Raw genomic sequence first — 20,519 nt, forward strand, 5'->3', positions numbered from 1 at the left:
AGAGGATTAAAAAACTCTCTATCAAGTACTATGATTATTACCTGGGTGATGAAATAATCTGTATACCAACCTCCATGAAATACAATTTACCTATATAACAAACCTGCACATGTACCCTTGAACCTAAAATAAAAGTTAAATTTAGAAAATATTATCTTTTTGGTATAGAAATTTCAATATAGAAGCAAATTACTGAAGAGTTTCCTGACACAAAGGAGCATGAGTACATGTACATATGTGTGTATATAATTTTTTTTTTATTATACCTTAAGTTTTAGGGTACATGTGCACATTGTGCAGCTTAGTTACATATGTATACATGTGCCATGCTGGTGCGCTGCACCCACTAACTCATCATCTAGCATTAGGTATATCTCCCAATGCTATCCCCTCCCCCCCTACCCCCACCCCACAACAGTCCCCAGAGTGTGATATTCCCCTTCCTGTGTCCATGTGATCTCATTGTTCAATTCCCACCTATGAGTGAGAACATGCAGTGTTTGGTTTTTTGTTCTTGCGATAGTTTACTGAAAATGATGATTTCCAATTTCATCCATGTCCCTACAAAGGACATGAACTCATCCTTTTTTATGGCTGCATAGTATTCCATGGTGTATATGTGCCACATTTTCTTAATCCAGTCTATCATTGTTGGACATTTGGGTTGGTTCCAAGTCTTTGCTATTGTGAATAATGCCACAATAAACATACGTGTGCATGTGTCTTTACAGCAGCATGATTTATAGTCCTTTGGGTATATACCCAGTAATGGGATGGCTGGGTCAAATGGTATTTCCAGTTCTAGATCCCTGAGGAATCGCCACACTGACTTCCACAATGGTTGAACTAGTTTACAGTCCCACCAACAGTGTAAAAGTGTTCCTATTTCTCCACATCCTCTCCAGCACCTGTTGTTTCCTGACTTTTTAATGATCGCCATTCTAACTGGTGTGAGATGGTATCTCATTGTGGTTTTGATTTGCATTTCTCTGATGGCCAGTGATGATGAGCATTTTTTCATGTGTTTTTTGCTGCATAAATGGCCATACTGCCCAAGGTAATTTACAGATTCAATGCCATCCCCATCAAGCTACCAATGCCTTTCTTCACAGAATTGGAAAAAACTACTTTAAAGTTCATATGGAACCAAAAAAGAGCCCACATCGCCAAGCCAATCCTAAGCCAAAAGAACAAAGCTGGAGGCATCACACTACCTGACTTCAAACTATACTACAAGGCTACAGTAACCAAACAGCATGGTACTGGTACCAAAACAGAGATATAGTCAATGGAACAGAACAGAGCCCTCAGAAATAACGCCGCGTATCTACAACTATCTGATCTTTGACAAACCTGAGAAAAACAAGCAATGGGGAAAGGATTCCCTATTTAATAAATGGTGCTGGGAAAACTGGCTAGCCATATGTAGAAAGCTGAAACTGGATCCCTTCCTTACACCTTATACAAAAATCAATTCAAGATGGATTAAAGACTTAAACGTTAGACCTAAAACCATAAAAACCCTAGAAGAAAACCTAGGCATTACCATTCAGGACATAGGCGTGGGCAAGGACTTCATGTCTAAAACACCAAAAGCAATGGCAACAAAAGCCAAAATTGACAAATGGGATCTAATTAAACTAAAGAGCTTCTGCACAGCAAAAGAAACTACCATCAGAGTGAACAGGCAACCTACAAAATGGGAGAAAATTTTCGCAACCTACTCATCTGACAAAGGGCTAATATCCAGAATCTACAATGAACTCAAACAAATTTACAAGAAAAAAACAAACAACCCCATCAAAAAGTGGGTGTATATAATTTTTTTAAAATAGTCAATTCTGAGGCTCTAAGGAATGTAACAAAAACAGAATGTATGAAAAAAAGAATTTGGGTTTTATGTTCCTAAGGCTGAATCGTGTTTCTCAACCATTTTTACATTATTGTTTCCCTTCACCCAGGACAATTGTTTGACTTTATTCCTCTAATAACCTCCTCTTACCCCCCATGAAATTTTAGTATTAGTTATTCCATGTATACATTTATATTGTCAGAGTTGAGCTTCGGAGGATCATAAACAATTATAATATCTAAGATTTTTTCACCTCCCCCATAAACCGATTTTTACGTCCTTGGGGATGATATCACCCCCTCCTGCTCCCTGATTAAAATGCGTAAGCTGAACCAGCACTGAACTTGAAAAAATATTTCTTACTTTTTTACCTCATGGGCCAGATATGTGGGAGAGTTTTCAAACTTCTGAGAAAATCTTAGAATCAGCACAGATGTTGATACAGCTTTCTTGAAAGTCTTGAAATATTTTTAGCCCTGGGAAGATCATATCCACGTTGGGAAGCTGTGTTTTCAGTCTTTTGAGCAAGTATAGGAGGAATCTATCTCCTAGTATTCTCATTCCCAAATGTGTCTTTGGAAAATTTACACATTGGTAATCAGAATCAGAGTGATGTAAATTTAATGATTCCTGGAAAAACTTTTAAAAATGTCTTTTCACTGTAGATTATTTGGAAAATATAGATAAGCAAACAATAAAAGCCAAATTACCCATGGTCTGACCAAGGAGGTGTGAACAACATATTGGCTTATTTCTTTACTATTTTTCCATTTTAAAAATGTGTATGTGAGTGTGAGGGCATGTATCCACATGCACATGGAGGTTTTTTTTTTAAAAAATGGAATATTCAGACATGTTAATGTGTTTGTATTATTAGTATTATCATACATATTAATGTATTATTCATACATGCTTTGTAATGTATCTTTTACATTTTATTGTAAACATTTCCCCATGGTTTAGAGTATTTTCCTACATCACTATTTCTACTGGCTATTTAGCCTTGATATATGTATATAATTAAACAGTCCCCTATTTTTTGACAGGTAGGATTCTTCACACTTCTTACCACAATAAAAATGCTTCTATAAAGTTCAGTGTGGCTACTCTTTGTACATACCATTAGTTATTCCCTTAGGAAATATATCTAGAAGTGTAAATGCTATCTCAAAAATTATGCACACTTCTACTGATTTGATAAATATTGTTAAATTATGCTTCAGGAAACTTCTATGAGTCAACATTTCCAAGTTTTCTAATTGGTTATTATCACTTCTTTTTCTTGCTTTATGTAAGCAATTCTTTACATATTTCTTTGAAGATAGTAATTATACTAATTATTTTATAGTCCTGTTTTATCAGCTCTATTTCCTCTGGTATAAACTCTTTATTTATTTTTATTTTTTGAGACTGAGTTTCACTCTTGTTGCCCAGGCTAGAGTGCAATGGCAAGATCTCAGCTCACCGCAACCTCCACCTCCTGGGTTCAAGCAATTATCCTGCCTCAGCCTCCCGAGTAGCTGGGACTACAGTCATGCACCACCACACTCGGCTAATTTTGTATTTTTAGTAGAGACAGCGTTTCTCCATGTTGCTCAGGCTGGTCTCGAATTCCTGACCTCGTGATCAGCCCGCCTCAGCCTCCCAAAGTGCTGGAATTACAGGCATGAGCCACTGTTCCTGGCCATAAACTCTTTCATCTATTAGCCTGAATGGTGTTGGCATTCAGTGATTATCAGCTCCTTGAATAATTTTTTAAATTTCAGCTTATTTTTGAATTCTGGGCACAGGAGATTCCCTGAAAGACTTATGACTGTTTTTTCAGTTCACTTTACAGAGAGGAAAAATGTCTGACAGGAGATTGCTTTGGTCAGTGAGTGTGTGGAAGCAAGTATAATGCATTCTGATTCTTCTCTGGTGTTGCCAGCTACTCACGGCTCCATTTTATTTCTCTCTGTTCAAAGCACATCTCCTAACTAGGCTATAGTTGCGTAGGATGTAGGGGAAGAGGGTGAGGGATAGGAGGAATAGTGTGGCTATGGGGTAGAGTAGGTAGTCTAGTCCACAGAGCTGCTTGGTCCTGAGAGAGTATAGTAATCCCTCTGTCTATTGTTCCCTGATCCCATTATTCTCTGAAGGACTCTACTACCTCTGTGTTTTGAATTGCCTTAATTATTTTTGGTAAAAGCTCTTCCTTGGGCTTCCATATTCATCCTGGGTCAATGCTTCCTTCCTCATTTGATACTATCTACATGTGGTTTCTGTTCCTGTAAGAATTTATCTTCCTGTATTTAAGTGGCTATTTATGTATTATTTTAAAAGTTATCCTCTTATCATTTCTAAGTTTTGGCATGGGAAGGAGGGACACTATGTATGCCTATTTTTACCGTCTTAAAACTGAAAGTACTTGTATCAATTTACTAATACACTTGCAGTATATTGTCAGGTAGAGATTAATGGAAGCAAAGTAATTGTCTTAATCCATCTGGGCTGCTATAACAAAATACCTTAGACTGAGTAATTTATAAACAACAGGAATTGTTTATAAATTTGGGATGTTCAAGATCAAGATGCCAGCAGATTTGGTGTCTGTTCGGGGCTTGCACTCTGCTTCAAAGATAGTACCTTCTAGCTATGTCCTTATGTGGTAGAAGGGTAGACAAGATTCCTTGGGAATCTTTTATAAGGGCTCAACCCTCACAAACTAATGATCTCCCGAAGGCCCTACCTCGATACTATCATACTGGGGATTGTTTCAACATAACGAATTTTTGGGGGACACAAACATTCAGACCATAGCAATAATGAAAAAAAAAGAAGAAAAAACAAAAGCTGATCCTAACAAGGACTTTTTATTGAAAGAGAGCAAGAAACATGACTTGCCTACTTTAGACAATGAACTACATGTTAGTGTAGTACCTTATTTTTCTACAATGCCTTGAAGTTATTTAAACATCCCTCATTTGATCTTCACAATTCAATGAGATGGATATTATTACTTCTATTTATAAGATGAGAAACAGGCTGAGGTACTCTAAATAATATGTTCATAGAGGCTGTGTGGAAGAAATGAATTAAATCCTTTCCCCAGCCTGTAAGTCCAGTGCTTTGTCTAGTCTACTATTAAGTACAGATAAAGTTATATGAAAAGCTAAAAAACAGTATTCTTTTGGTTAAAATAGTGACTTAAAGGAAGGTGAAGAAAAGCATTCAAGAACCCCTTAAAACATATAGTCTAATACAGAAGAACAAAAATATACTAAGTGAAATTAAAGGCGCTATGCCTTTGAGAGGCTTTATTTAAAACCACACTGGGCCTTGTATGGAAACCAAGCCATAAGCTTCAACTGACATTCTTTCTGCAGTCTCCATCATGAATCTGACCACTCAAGTTTTAATTTCCTGTCAGATAAGATAAATGGAAGACAAGATCTCACAATTAGGTTTCAAACTATAAACAGCCTTCATGAAATCTTTGAATATATTTCGTCTAGTTCACTGCTATGAGTTGTTGCTTGGTCTGAATACATTTTAAAATGGAATTCCTTAGTTTAAATTGTAGACTATTCCAGGGCAGAAGTTGGGAGCTTTCACATCTGTGGTATTCCCTAAGGAAAGTGCCTTTTGTAGAGTCTGGTTACTGCTCATTCCAGCTTTTCTTTGTAACTAGTGCTGCAAGGTTTACAAGTATGGTTGAAAGAACATCACTAGGTATACGGCTCTCCTATCCAGTGGAGAGGTGCTAACTGTATAACTGGCTTTTAAAACCTGAAAAGACTGTTTTTAAGGAATAAATGACTAAGGATTGGGAGTCTTAGATTGAGAGAAGAGAGAAGTAGAGTTTGACATTTTGCAAAGGATAATTCACTAAAAATACCCATGAAGGTTATTTGGAGCAATTTAGAAATATTGGAGGGACTTATCTATCTGCCAAAGGTAGAGCAGGAGAATTCTATGACATGTTGAAATTGCTGTGCATGTTTTCTTTTGGTTCTTTGGTTGGAACATAAATGGAGTTTAATTAAAGTTACACAGGGAGGAGTAGGGAAAATCTCATGGGGACTCAAACAGGAGATACGGTAAGGCTGGGCAGAGCTCAGAGGTACTGGAGTTAGCATGTGATTCTCAGTTCAAGGAGGAGCTGGAATCCTCAGCTGCATGAACATTTAAGTCATCATACCTGTTACACTTAAATGCAGCATATCTTAGCCATGTTCCAAATGCTTCTTCTGCTTATACCTTTTTTCTACTCCTTTATAACTTCAACGTGCACATAGCCCACTGTAAACTCTCCAGTCCCTGACATAATACCTGTTCTATTTCAGCTTCCAGAACTAAATGTCAAATTATTTCCATATTTCTTGGTTTGAATTCCTGAAGAGTGTATGATTAGGCCAACCCTTTTGCGGCTAGGTGATTGAATCAGAGTTTGTGGCCAGGCTATATTGGCTTTCTTTGGCTCAAGAGTCAAGCTCTTGTTCAGTTAGTTCAGTTCCCAAGCAGTAGAATTATATGGTGTAAAATCTGCATATGACAGGGTCTCTGGGTGGGTGGTTGCACTTCGAAAGGGGGGCATCAACAGAGTAGGAAACGTTTGGTGGTCCTATTGTATGTTGAATGGTATTCTTGACTAATTTTTAACTATCTTGAAAAGGACTAAGTTCTGAGTAAGACGTGACACCACCGGAGTTTTTTTTTTTTGAGCAGGGGAGTGATATAATTGGACATGCTTTAAAGGACTACTTTAGATGCTCTCTGGAGATGATCACTATTCACATTTTGGCGTATTTCCTTCTTCTCCAGTGTAACAATATTTCTTTTACTGAATCTTTTCTTTTCTTTCATGTATGATTACTTAACATTTTGTAGGTATCTCTATTACAGAATTTATTTCATGGCATCCTCTATTTCAGCTGCAATTGCTGTCACATTTCCATTGCCTCTTTCCTTAGTAGTTTCTTTGGCTTATGGTTTCAGGCACCATCCCTCATATATATATATATATATATTTTTTTTTTTTCTTTTTTTTGAGACAGTCTCACTCTGTCACCAGGCTGGAGTGCAGTGGTGCAATCTCAGTTCACTACAACCTCCGCCTCCTGGGTTCAAGCGATTCCCCTGCCTCAGCCTCCTGAGTAGCTGGGACTACAGGCATGTGCCACCATGCCCATTTAGTTTTTTATTTTATTTTTTGTATTTTAGTAGAGATGGGGTTTCACCATGTTGGCCAGGATGTTCTCAATCTCCTGACCTTGTGATCTGCCTGCCTAGGCCTCCCAAAGTGCTGGAATTACAGGCATGAGCCACTGTGCCCGGCCTCTAGGATATATTTTAAATAGATGTATTAGGGTCTGCCAGAGAAACAGAACCAACAGGATATCTCTCTCTCTTTCTCAACATATTTATTATAATAAATTGGCTTACATGATTATGGGTTTGAGCAGTCTCACTTCACTAACTGCTGTATACAAGCTGAAGGCCCAGGAAAGCCAGTGGTATCCTTCCAGTTCAATCATGAAGGCCTCAGAAGCAGGAGAGCTGATGGCATAAGCCTCAGTCCCAGTACAGGAGAAAACTGATGTCCTAGTTCAGTCAGACAGAGTGAATTCTCCCTCCCTCCACCTTTTTGTTCTAGTCATGCCCTCAACAGATTGGATAATGCCCAGTCACAATGGGGAGGGCAATCTGCTTCATTCAGTTCATCAATTGCTTAATTTCATCTAGAAACACCCTCAAGGCACACCAAGAAATAATGTTAAGCCAAATATCTGGATACGCCATGGCCCAGTGAAGTTGACACATAAAATTAATCATTACAGTAAATAAGTTTAAATATATTTGAAATATTATTATATGTTCTGTTTAATTTATTTACTAATGTTTAGTTAACTGTGTGGTCATTTTATTAAAAATAGGTAATTATAGTCTTTTTTGGGGGGAGGAATCAGATCTGAATTACTTTATTTGTAATTACAATATCCTTTAATCAAGGACTGATTGATTAGCACATAAAGAATGTACAGTTTAGAACCATAGATGGCAATTTTAAATGGATCATCTCAAAATTATGCTGCACATGTTTATGTGTATTTGAACATCAAGTCATTCAGGAATAGTATTAATTCTAAAAAGGGTAAATGTTATCAGAGTTTTAAGAGAAATTTTGGTATTCTCTATTAATTTATTTGTGAAGATATTCTAGGAAAGATCTGACAATCAATTACTGTACTTTTTCATCTCATCTGATTCTTAGATATGATCTCAGGCAAATATTCAATAGACTATTCATTCTATTTTACTTTATTTGTATCAAATATGATAAGCATCAACTATATATATATTGAAATATGTTTAAGAAGAATTATAGTTCTACATAATTATATACATTCACTTTAATATAATAAGCAAAAATGACTCTTGCTGCCAATAGTATTAGGCTCCTATATAGGTATGAATGAACACTGTTCTGAAACACTGCTGCACATGGTACTCAACAAATGATAACAAATCTATTTGGAATGTGGAAAATTTTCTTTTCAAAAGCAGAAAGTGAACAAGGGGAAATGGAAATGAATAGTATCAGCTATTCTGGAGAAATAAAAGTCTGTAGGTTCTAGCAGTAGAATTGTAGGGTTAAAAACCTGTATTTCTTTCTCTTTTTATCTCAGTCTCTTTCCAGACCTCCTAGGTTTTATTCTCTAATACTAAATGTTTTCTGCTTTTCTTTTTTTTTTTTTTTTGAGACAGAGTCTTGCTGTGTTGCCCAGGCTGGAGTACAGTGGCATGATCTCGGCTCACGGTACGCTCCGCCTCCCGGGTTCATGCCATTCCCCTGCCTCAGCCTCCCTAGTAGCTGGGACTACTGGGGCCCGCCACCACACCCGGCTAATTTTTTGTGTTTTTAGTAGAGACGGGGTTTCACCGTGTTAGCCAGGATGGTCTCGATCTCCTGACCTTGTGATCCGCCTGCCTTGGCCTCCCAAAGTGCTGGGATTACAGGCGTGAGCCACTGCGCCCGGCCTGTTTTCTGCTTTTCAACTCCAATTCTTGTGCTTTATGTTTATCGGATTTCTGCGATGGATAAAATATGATGATATATGATAGATGACAGAGTAGTAGTTGGAAAGAGTCCAGGCCTAGAGGCCTATTTCATTTCTGTTTGCAACAGCTGAAAACTTGTGTGCTACAATTGATATGGCCCCTCCTCTTTCTGGGCCACTTAAAACAACAGCTTTGATAACTTGTTCTGAGTTACCTTTTATTCTATGTAATTAACTTAGATGACTTTCTTCCTAATAGAAGGAAGAGCTTCAGGGGCAATCCAATAAAAAGGAAAATTTTCCTAAATTTTCAGACAGTACAATTACTATGTAAAATTGAGGCAAATATTTTGTTAGCTTTTTGCTTTTATCTTCTGTTTCCCTTTGTCATGTACTAGACAACATTAGGCTGGTGCTCACAAGTTTTCAGACTCCTGGTAAAGATGATGAAAGTCCCTGAAAAATGTTTGCAAAATGGTATCCTCTGATGTAAGTCTTTACATTTCAAGGAACATTCAGAAATTTCAGGGTGTATGTGATTCAAGACATGAGAGGTTTGGCAGCTCAGTCCTTTCACATTATTTGAAGGGACCTTAGGAACTGGCTTCTAGCAACAAATCTTTCCTTAACTGGTGTCCCTAGGAAGCAGGACTACCTGAGAGGTGACCCTGGGACAAGATTGGCAGGGGGCCATGGCAGTTTCATTCCTGGATGTTTATGTGTACACAATTTTCACTACCCTGAATGCTTTTTCTTCTCCTGTATGATTTCGCCTTGACTTTTAAGGTTCAGATGAAATATTTTCCCCATGTAAACTTGGCAGAGTTCTTGTAATTCACCTAGGTTTTATATTCTGCATCTGTAAATAGAAGCTAATAATATCCTTTTCACTGAGGATTAAATGAGACATGGGATTGAACCCAGGTCTAGCTAACTCCAAAGTCATTGCACTTAAACAGTGTATTAGGCCATTCTTGCATTGCTATAAATAAATACCTGAACCTGGGTAATTTATAAAGAAAAGCGGTTTTATTGACTTGCAGTTCAGCAGGTTGTACAGGAAGCATAGTGGCTTCTGCTTCTGGAGAGGCCTCAGAAAGCTTTCAATTGTGGTGGAAAGCAAAGGGGGAGCGGGTTGTCTCACATGGCAGGAGCAGAAGCAAGAGAGAGAGAGCAAGAGGGAAAGTGCAACATACTTTTAAAGAACCAGTGTCATGAGAACTCACCATCATGAGAACAGCACCAAGGGAGATGGTGCTAAACTGTTCATGAGAAACATCTCCATGATCCAGTCACCTCCCACCAAGTCCCACCTCCAACATTGGAGATTACAATTCTACATGAGATTGGGGCAGAGACACAGATTCATAACATATAAAATATAATGCTCAAGATATTTTAAGCAACTACCCACTTTATTTTTTCCTAGTCTACCATTTATATAGCAAACATTCTTTCTAAAGATACCTTTATTATCTGCATTGGTCTTTTGACCCTAGGCATTCACTACCTTTTATTGATAAATATTATTTTTTGGTATGGATAATCAAGCATTTATTGAAAAATATTTATTGAACCACATTTATGTATTAAACGTATGCTAGATCAGGAGATACAAAGAATAAGAAATCGTTCTTATGAAGGGACTGAAAGACAATGTGACATGGTCTTGTAAAAAGTTACATTGAATTGTAAATTGGGATATTACAATGAAACGTCGTATGTGTAGGTCTACAGCTTGAAACTAGGGTTTTCTGTTTCCAACAGAATGTTAAGCTTTTGAAAGCAGGAACCAGTCTTCTATTTCATTCAACTTTTCATTATTTTTAGCCTAGTGTCCTGTTCTTAGTAGGTGTTGGGATTTATCCATATATTTATTGATTTGCTTTAGTAAAATAGAAGCTCTCTATTACATATTAGTTACTTGTAGCTGTATAACACATTACCCCAAAATTTAGCTGCTTAAAGCATCAGAGATTTGTTATTTCACACAGGTTCTGAGGATTAGGAATCTGAGAGTATCTGAACTGGTTGGTTCTAGCTCAGGGTCTCTCATGAGTTGTAATCAAGTTGTCAGCTGGAATTGCAGTCATCTGAAGGCTTGACTGGAGCTGGAGGATCTGCTTCCAAGATGGCTTACTCACATGGCTTTTGGCAGAAAACCCCAGATGCTTAGCATGTGGGCTTCTCAACAGAGCTACCTGAATATTCTTACATCATGGCAGCTGGCTTCCCCCAGAGTAAGTGACTCACAAAGAAGAGAGAATAAGCAGGAATTGCAATACCTTTTATGGTCTAATCTCTGAAGTTGTGCACATCACTTCTGCTTTATTCTATTCATTAGAAGTGAGTCACTAAGTCCAGTACGCACTCAAGGGGAGGAGAATTAGGCTCTACCTCTTAAAGGAGCAGTAACAAATAATTTGTGGATATATCTTAAAGTTACCACAGTACACTAACAGCACAAAATGTACTCTATCATTATTTTCTTTTTGAGCTCTGTAGGCTGAGGGCAAAACTTCAGAAAATAGGAAGATGAAGGCAGGGAAAATAAAGAGGGACTGGGAGAATGCACAGGGTAGTTTAGAGGGAATGAGGGTCTGGCATAGGGCAAAGAATCTACACAACCTGGGAATGTTATGTTCTGATGTCTTAGGTATTCATAAGAAGGGGGCTAAAGAGAATGACAGTGAGAGATGGAAGTGGGGAAAGAATGAAGAAGAACAAAATAACTGAGAGAAAACAAGGATAATTGTGTAGAAAGTGAAAGGGCAAGAGAAGAAAATAAAATAAAATACCTCTAGGAAAAAATCTCTGGAATCAGTCAAAAGCTGTTGCCCAGTTGTGAAGCAAATAAGCCCATTGGAACTGTCCAAAGGGGCTATTTTCTAAAATCTTTATTGTATAGTATCTGAGTATAACTGTTTGAGACATTTTTATGGTGATTTAGGTGCCAATGCTGAAAAGAATGAATTAAGATTCAAGAGTAGAACAATTTATAATTATTTTAAAGAAAATATATGGAGAAAAAAAGATAAGAATTGGTAGAAGTTTTTTTGTATAAAAGATTTAGAAATAAAGTTGTTATCAGAGACAATAATTATATAACTGAAGAGTCATTGCTGGGCACATTATGAACACATTTAGGCTATGAAAAGTGAAATATAAATGTGTGATGAAACCAAGGCAAGGTGGAATTAAAATTCCATCCTTCCTCATTCCCCTCCTAATTACTTAGTGGGGAGAGAGAAAGTATTGAAGTCATTTCATCTTTTTCACATACAGATATAGAGAAATTTCATTATAATCTTGTGGCATGTTTAGATATCAGAGATACAACATGTGGAACTGACATAACATACATGCAAACTAAGTGGTCAGATAGATTTACTGCTTTAGTTGTGTAGGTCAATTACACAAAGACAATTTATATGACCAGGATATTATTTAGAAGGAAAAGAGATAAGACCCATGCAAATAAACTGGCAAGACCTAGTTAAGTATCAAGAGAGACATTGTAGAGTTTAGACAATGCAGAGTTAATAGGAAGAGGAGTATCTTAGAAACATCAATAGGAGAAAGAAGCAATTGATGAATGGAATTAGGCATATGATTTAACTTGGCAGCAATGGTCCCCATGAGAAGGGAGTGTCCAAAATAAGTAAAGTTCAAGGGATGTAACTAGACTGTTAAAAAGCAGAGTACAGACTTTAAAGATAGTCAGTGGAGGCCCAAAATGGGGATTTTTGTCTTACTCTTAAGCATTAACTCACCTAAGAGGGAACAATGATGATGATCTTTTACATAAAATATGGAAAAATAAAAGACTATCAGCTTTGATATTGACAGGCACATTTTTCTTCACATCAGGGGGCCTATTTTTGGTCTATTTTCCAACATTTAAATGAAGAAAGGGTTTTCTAGTATTTCTTTTGGTTATAAACATAGTTTTCTGAATTGGAAAATTTAGGAAAATATAAAAGTGCATAAAAATAAATTACAACTATACAACCCATTGACAACTGTTAATATTTTAGCACATTTCTATGTTTTGTTTTAATATTTATGATTTAAAAGATTTTTTTAAAAACAGTTTTGCATACTGCTTACTTTACTCAGTATCATATCAGGACAATTTTGTCATTAAAAATCTCTTGTAAACATCATTAAATTTATTACCTTTTAATTTTTGAATAAATTTTAAGGGGCATAAGATAGTTAATCCTAATATTTACTAAAACATTATAATACAAAATAGAAAATAAATGATACATGTTTAAATTATTAATGGTTGAAACTGTTGACTACGTACTGTGATAATAACAGGTAATACTAATTATTTACTCTGCCACAGGAACTGTTCTAAGTACTTTGTATGGATTACATCATTTAACAATCATATTAGCCACTATGAGGAACCTATAATTATTATTCCCGTTTTACTTAAAGAGGTTTAGTAATGTGGCTCAAGTTCTCACAGCTAGTAAGTATGGAGCTGAAATCCAAACAAGGCAATTTGACTCCCAAGTCCATCTTTCTAAATCTATACATTTTGCATTATATGTTTAAGCCTTGCATTAGGAACTGGAGATAGAATGATAAGGAAACCATAGAGGGTCTGCTCTTGCTGAGCTGTAGCGTGTAGAGAAACAGTTATTACCAAATAATTAACATTTTAAATGTATAATTACAAACTGAAATCAGCACACTAAATGAAAGGAACATAGATCGACAATAGACAACAGGAGCCTGACTAAGTGAGTAAACTAGGGAAGGCTTCCTGGAGGAGGTGACACAAGCTGACAGCTGAAGAACGAACAACAATCAGTGAGGTAAAGGGGAAAGATACATTCCAGACAGAAGGAATAGCATGCAGAAAGGCCCTAGAGTGAGAGGGAACATGAATGTTCAGAAAACTGGAAGAAATTCAGTGTGACTGGGGCTCACAGATTGTATGGGAGCAGGCTGTGGCCCAGGAATGTAGGGCATGCTGAGGATTTTGAACTTTAAGGACAATGGAAATCTCAGAGTTTTATGTAGGTGGTGACATAATCAGATTTATTTTGAAAGGATCTTTCCATCTGAAGAATGACAGACATACTGGAGGGAGGCTAGAGGGAATGTGGGGTGGATTTCTGGTAGACTTTTGCTGAAGTCGAATAAGAAATGAAGATAACTCGGTCTAAGGTAGTGGCAGGAAAGGTGGAAAGACCTGAACATATTTAAGAGATATTTAACAGGTAAATTTGAAAATGGTGATGGAGTTAGTATGTTTTCTATGGGCTGAGATAGACAATACTAGAAGACCAAAATTTAGGAGGGCAGATCATGAGTTCAATCTTGGAAACAGTGAGTTTGACATGTGAATATTTTGAGTATGCAGTTGCGTACTGAGTGTGGAACCAGAGTCTTTGCCATAGAGATTTAATCAATTTGATGAATATGGGTAAAAAAAAAAAGAAGAAGATAAAGTGCAAAGAGAATGTAGTGGGCTCTGGGGAGCACTATTTCATGACTGGGCAAAGAATTATGAGTTATCAAGGAAAATTTAGTTAGAAGAGCATGTTAACTAGGTTGGAATTGTTGGCAACAACTGAGGGTATACTGGAAGTTGGTGATGATGAATTTATGGTGATTCTTGTCTCCCCTGAGGTGTGACTCTGCAAACAGCACCACAGAGGCAAGGAAGCCTGGTGGCAAGAATGACCCAGAAAGGTTTTGTAAGATATGTGAAACGAGAAGGTTGAGTGTCAGAGGATTCAGGCATGAGATAGCATAATTTACCATTCATTTTTTTTAAACATAGAAAAGGGTTTCTTAAAAAAAAATTGAGGCTTGGCACGTGTCTCACATACCTGCAACCTCAGCACTTTCGGAGGTCGAATTGGGTGAATCGCTTGAGCTCAGGAGTTCGAGACCTGGGCAATATGGTGAAACCCCATCTCTGCCAAAAATACAAAAAATTAGCTGGGCATGGTGGCACATGCCTGTAGTCCCAGCTACTTGGGAGGCTGAGGTGGGAGGATAGCTTGAGCCCAGGAGGTGGAGGCTACAGTGAGCTGAGATCGTACCACTGCACTCCAGCCTGGGTGACAGAGTAAAACCCCACCCACTCATCCCCCCACCCCGAATTTAAATAATTCTGAGAAATACCTTTTATGCATAAACATTTGTCTCTTTTAAATATTTCTTTTGGAGAAATTCCTATAAGAATTACTCAAAGAGTAAGAATAACTTTCAGCCTTTTAAATGACATTGCCAATTTGTTTCCAGATTCCTCTAATCTTGTTTGCATGGGGGCAGTGGCTGTTCTAATTTTTATTCTTTGTGTTTTGACAGGCTAAAAGAATGTATCCTTCAAATTCTTCTTTCTTACTCTCTTTCAGCTGCTGTGTCATGAGTAATTTTCTTTGGTTAAGGTGCATATCTCATGCACATGTGAGAAGGTCTTCATGTTGCTTTGGAACAACAAAGAAAACCTTCTGGTTATTGAATCTTTGGGTCATAAGCACTTTCCCTCTCAACCACTAAAGATCTTACTCCATTTTGTTGTGATGTTTTATGATATGGACAAAACTGAGGCCAAATTGTTCCAAGAAGAGGGAAATGCAAAGGCCCCAAGGTGGAGAATGCTTGGGAAGAAAGCCAGTGTTACCACAGTGGAGAGAGACAAGAGAGAAGTGGAGAAAGAGTGAGAGAGCAGGTACTGGGAGATGAGGCCAAAGAGATAGTGCAGAATCCAAATCATAACCAAGTCCTGAAGGCAGGGTGAGGAGTGTGCATTTCATTTTGAGTGAGATGAGAAACCACTGGGTGGTTGTAAGAGGGGGAGTGAAGTGGTATGATTTGCATTGTAAAGCAATTGCATGGTTAGGGTTGGCACACACAGGCAGGGTGGAAGTAGAGGCCTCTTCGGGCTACTGGTTCTCAGGTAGTTCAAGGGCAGAAATGGGGTCTAAAGCAGGTATGGGGTGGGGACTGTGCGGTGACACAAATAAGCCCTCCCAGATCAGTTATTTCTATGCTGATGTCTAAATGGAAAAGCCTGAAGAGGACTCTCCCTTCGGCTTTAAGGCCTAGGGTACAAAAGGCAGGGCAGGGCCTGGGCTTGGGGGCCTTCATCTGCTTCTCCCTGACTAGAATGAGGAAGGTCTCAGTGTCTGTCTGTCTGTCTGTCTGTCTCTCTCTCTCTCTATCTGTGTGTGTGTGTGTGTGTTTATAGCCTGGGAGTTTAGTTATCTATTTCTTTCCAGGCTTGGCTCTTAGCCTCTTTTCTTCACCTCCCTCTAAGGATCTTCTCTTGGGAGAAGTATTCAGCAGATACTGAAGGATTATGACTCTAGGTCACTTTCTGACTATTTTCCCTCCCTTTCATGCAGGGTGTGTGAGACATGGGTTCCCAGCACAGATATTTTTTCTTTCTTATGTTCAAATGATATCATCAGCCTAATTTCTCCACAATTCTGATTAGATATCAAATTTATCATACAGTTTCTTGAATTTCCCATTGGTCACAAATAGTATTAATATCCTTTAGAGTTACTAATTAAATCTAATTTTTGGATGCCTTAGCCCCCACACTTGAATCTTTTCCCCCCTCCTTGAAACTTGACCTTAAGCCTATTTAGAAATCCCAGTTCTCACTAAAGAGTAACGCTATGAATTTTGAGATGCTTTGAAGAATGCACAGGGATTTGTCATACCCTACTTATTGGTTCTATTTTTGAGTCCATGTGAAATCTCAGCTTCCTCCCTCACCCCCAGTTTACTTTATAAATGCTCCTGCTAATCTAGCCCCCTTCTGATCTCCCTCATTGCTTTGGGCTAGTCTGAAGCAACAGAAGGACTTGCTAAATTTGTATATTCTTCCTGAGTCCTGGGGCTTTGTGGGAACAATTATAAAAATTTACCAAGTCTGGAGAAGAAGGCCTTCGCAAATCTTGAGTGCGCAGGGAGAAGCGAATGTGTCTGGCGTTTCTGAGAAGATATTTGTTTATTCATAAATCATTTATTGAACATCAGCTCTGTACTAGGCATTGAATTTTGAGCTTGCATTAGTCACGTAAGTCATAGTGTTTAAAGAGACCAAAGCCTGATAGATGAAGATAGACTTTTCAACAATGATTGTCTCAGAGTATTTATAGGTAATATGATTAATTTATATACCAGGCCCAATGAGGAGACAAGGAAACATTCGATAGAGGCTGGAGAAGCTTAGAGGGGTGACATTTTAGTTTTGAAGAGATGACCCAGTTGTAGGATGAGTTAAAAGGGTATGGCATGAGTCATAACTGTGAGATAAGATACAGGCCTGTCATGAGATCTCTAAGTATCTCTGAAAGCTTAAAAGGGTAAAGATGGGGCTTACTAGGATATATGGTTGGAGAGTCAGCCAAGGAGAGCCAAGTATGACATATGAGGGCTTTGGATTTATCCTATGGACAAAAGAGAGCTTTGAAAGGTTCTAAGCAAGGTTGTTATATGACCAAATTTTCCTTTCAGAAAACCATTTCTTCAGCAAAATTTTGCGCTGAGATGAATTCAAGTACCATTGCAACAACTCACATAAGACAAAGGCCTCCAATGAAGGTGGGGTGGGTAGTGGGTGTGGCCAGGAGTAGGAGAAGATTGTGTGGGGGTGGTGAGGAGGTGGATGGGATGGAGGATGGAAAGAGAGGTTTCCAAAAGTTTTAAGAAGGTAGAATTGACAGGACATGGTGAGAGACTTGAAGTGGGTGATGAGAAAAAGGAAAAAGCATAATTTAGGGGAAATATGAATTTAGGCTTAGAATTTAGAACTTTAGGTGCCAATGGAACTTCCAGTTGGAGTGGTTCATTGGACAGCCAAATATTTGAGACCATTACTCAAGAAGGCAGTTGACACAGACATCTTAGCCTCAAAGTTCCTTGAATCCTTCACTTTAAGGAGCTTCCTCAGTCTTCACTTCAGCAAACCATATCTACAGTCAAGTCTAGATCCTGACATCACCTTCACATGCTCTAAATTTGAAGAATTAAGGTCTGGTATGGCAATGTGACCACTGGTTCCTTGTATGTTCAAGCTATCTTATTGCTTTATATCCATATCTTTTCACTTAATGACTCAATGACATGAAGTCACTCAATGAGTCATTAAGTCAAAGTCATTGAGACTTCATGTCTTGCCACATCTTCTTTTCTCCTAGTCCATCAGAGTTGGTCTTGTTATTCCTTCCTGTAACCAGTCTAGACTGAAAAGGAGCAGTCCTGCCCTTTAATATTTAGTACACACAACATGCTCATTCTTTTACTTTCTGACATACTTATGTTGCAGACTCTTTATGTTGGATCTGGGAAGCTGAATGCTAAAGGGAAGCACATTATTGTACAGACAGGGGCCACCACTAATATGTAGATTACAGTGGTTCCCTCAGCACTTCTGTATAATATATTTCTGTCCAGGTTCCTTTACTGAAAACTGTGGGACATTTCAAACCTTCACTGCTTTCTTCCTGTCTTCATTCATACTGATACCCTGCCTCCAAACTCAACTGACATACGGTCTTATTCTCTGCTTCAAACAGTTGAAGGGACTATGTCTGACTCCTTCAACCATCCAGTGTCTTCAGACTTATTCAGGGGTTCACTTAAATGCCTTTTCCTCTGGTCACAAAGGAGAAGATAATTAAAAGATGTTAATATTCTAAGATCATTCTGTGTCCTTCACTTGCTTATTTCTGTTTTACTTATTCCTTCTTTCTCCTTTACATTGATCTCTCTGTATTGGTTTTTTCTTAGAGGACTGTGAGTTTAGTATAAATTATGGAATGATATCCTTTAGGACAAAAAAGGAAAGAATGGTGGTTACATAGAATGAAGCACAAGGAATAACCCTTCTCATTTCAGCACACTGAGTACTGACTTAGAGCTGCCATTGGGTTCAACTCTAGGTTGTACCCATGAGATTGTTAACATAGGAACTGAATTAAGAAAGTTAGAATGTCTGTTTTGAGACCAGGACTCAAGGTGATACCAACATAGACTTGAGCTTTGTATTTTATTTAAACATCTGCCTATGTTGTGTAAGATTTCCTGTACTTTTGAAACCTAATGACATGATATCCCAGATGTTTAAAATCAATTATTTTTAATTCATTGCATGCTTGCTACGTTTCAAATTCTGGTCTCAAATTATGGAAATATCTCTAATTTTCCTATAAATGTTGTGAGATGCAGTGGTGTGGAGCCACTTCACCCAGGCTCACAAGAGCTAATTTTGCACATCCCTTCCCAAACTCTGTGTTCAGTGACTTGAATCAGCTATAGCAGGAGGATTTACACTGTGGAATCAACACTCACTGCAAATTGAGGCTTTTTATTTCTTCATTTCAAGGACCTGGTTTACCAGCATACTACTTAAGATAGGTCATATGTCCCCATTTTACAGCTGAAATTTAGGTTCAGAGAAATAACTCCCTAAATTAGGTTAACTGTGAAAGCTACATGGGTTTTTGGGAGGCAAGGCAAGATATTCTGTAAGAGAGTAAGACATTGTCTTTTCTCTTCTTTTCTCTTCTTATTCTCTTCTTAATCTTTTCTTTTTCTACTGAAGTTGTAGACTGCAATTGGATTTAGACTTTCTCCATAGAAGTTTATATATCCTTGTGAACTGTATATCTTCCGTCTTCTGTTTTTTTTTTTTTTTCCCCTCACTCTGTTGCCCAGGCTGGAGTGCAGTGGCACAATCTCGGCTCAGTGCAACCTCCACCTCTGGGTTCAAAGGATTCTCTTGCCTCAGCCTCCCGAGTAGCTGGGATTATGGGCATGTACCACCACACCTGGCTAATTTTTGTATTTTTAGTAATATTTTCTTGGTCCCTAATAAGTTATAATGTGAACATTTTGATGTTCTTTTATTTCTTTTACTTTCCTCATTAAACATAAATGGATCATAAGACAGTCTTTGAGATCTAGAGGTTGGTGTATGTTAGGATGTTATTTTTTGTTATGCTTGGTTTTCTAATAAATATATTTGCAAAATGTTCCCAACACTCAATTTATTAATGCTTATTCTATTACTAACCAGTTCTATAACCCTAAACAAGTTTTCTTAGTTGTTCAGGATGGGGATATGACCAGTGACCCCTAAGGTCATGGCCATTCATGCCACCATTAAAATTCTTATGCTTCTGATAAGTAGAGTATGCCCCAGTGTGCCCCTAAATTACTTTATTTAGGACTTAAATCCACATTAGTATTTACTGTGGATTTTTAGTCCTAAATAAAGTAATTTCAGTTTAATTTTATTAAAAATGTAGCTTTAGAGGTAGTTTCATTATTTTGTTGTGCAATAAGGTTTTTATTTTGTTTGAAAAGTTTCAGGATCTGAAGCTGAGGGAATTCTACTGTGAGGGAAACCCACTGTTCCTGCAGCAGCCAGTGATTTCTACACAGCAGGAGAACGTCTGGAGTCTACAGGTGAAGACTTACCTCATTAACTTAAGTCTTCAAACTAAAGCCACAATTTAAATTTTAAAGCGTTTTCTTTTAAAACATTCTTGCCAAGCCAGCAAATGATTAATGTAATCCTAGTCCATTGGCAATGTGGATCCTATACATAATCTTTTTGACTTGCTTATAGAATCCAG

The 20,519-nt window shown here is 37.8% G+C and overlaps 1 protein-coding gene across 3 annotated transcripts in view; it reads left to right on the forward strand.

Annotated features, from left to right (window-relative positions):
• LRRC69 (leucine rich repeat containing 69) overlaps positions 1 to 20,519 on the forward strand; it is a 116,639-nt gene that overhangs the window by 66,656 nt on the left and 29,464 nt on the right. For all 3 annotated transcript variants that reach the window (NR_148895.2, NM_001129890.2, NM_001354470.2), the window contains one exon: positions 20,248 to 20,349. Coding sequence is in view for 2 of the 3 variants with exons in the window: in NM_001129890.2 (NP_001123362.1) it covers positions 20,248 to 20,349 (102 nt within the window). In the remaining variant the exon portion in view is untranslated. The remainder of the gene's footprint in view (positions 1 to 20,247; positions 20,350 to 20,519) is intronic.

This window comes from Homo sapiens, chromosome 8 (assembly GCF_000001405.40).
Source record: "Homo sapiens chromosome 8, GRCh38.p14 Primary Assembly".
NCBI lineage: Eukaryota > Metazoa > Chordata > Mammalia > Primates > Hominidae > Homo > Homo sapiens.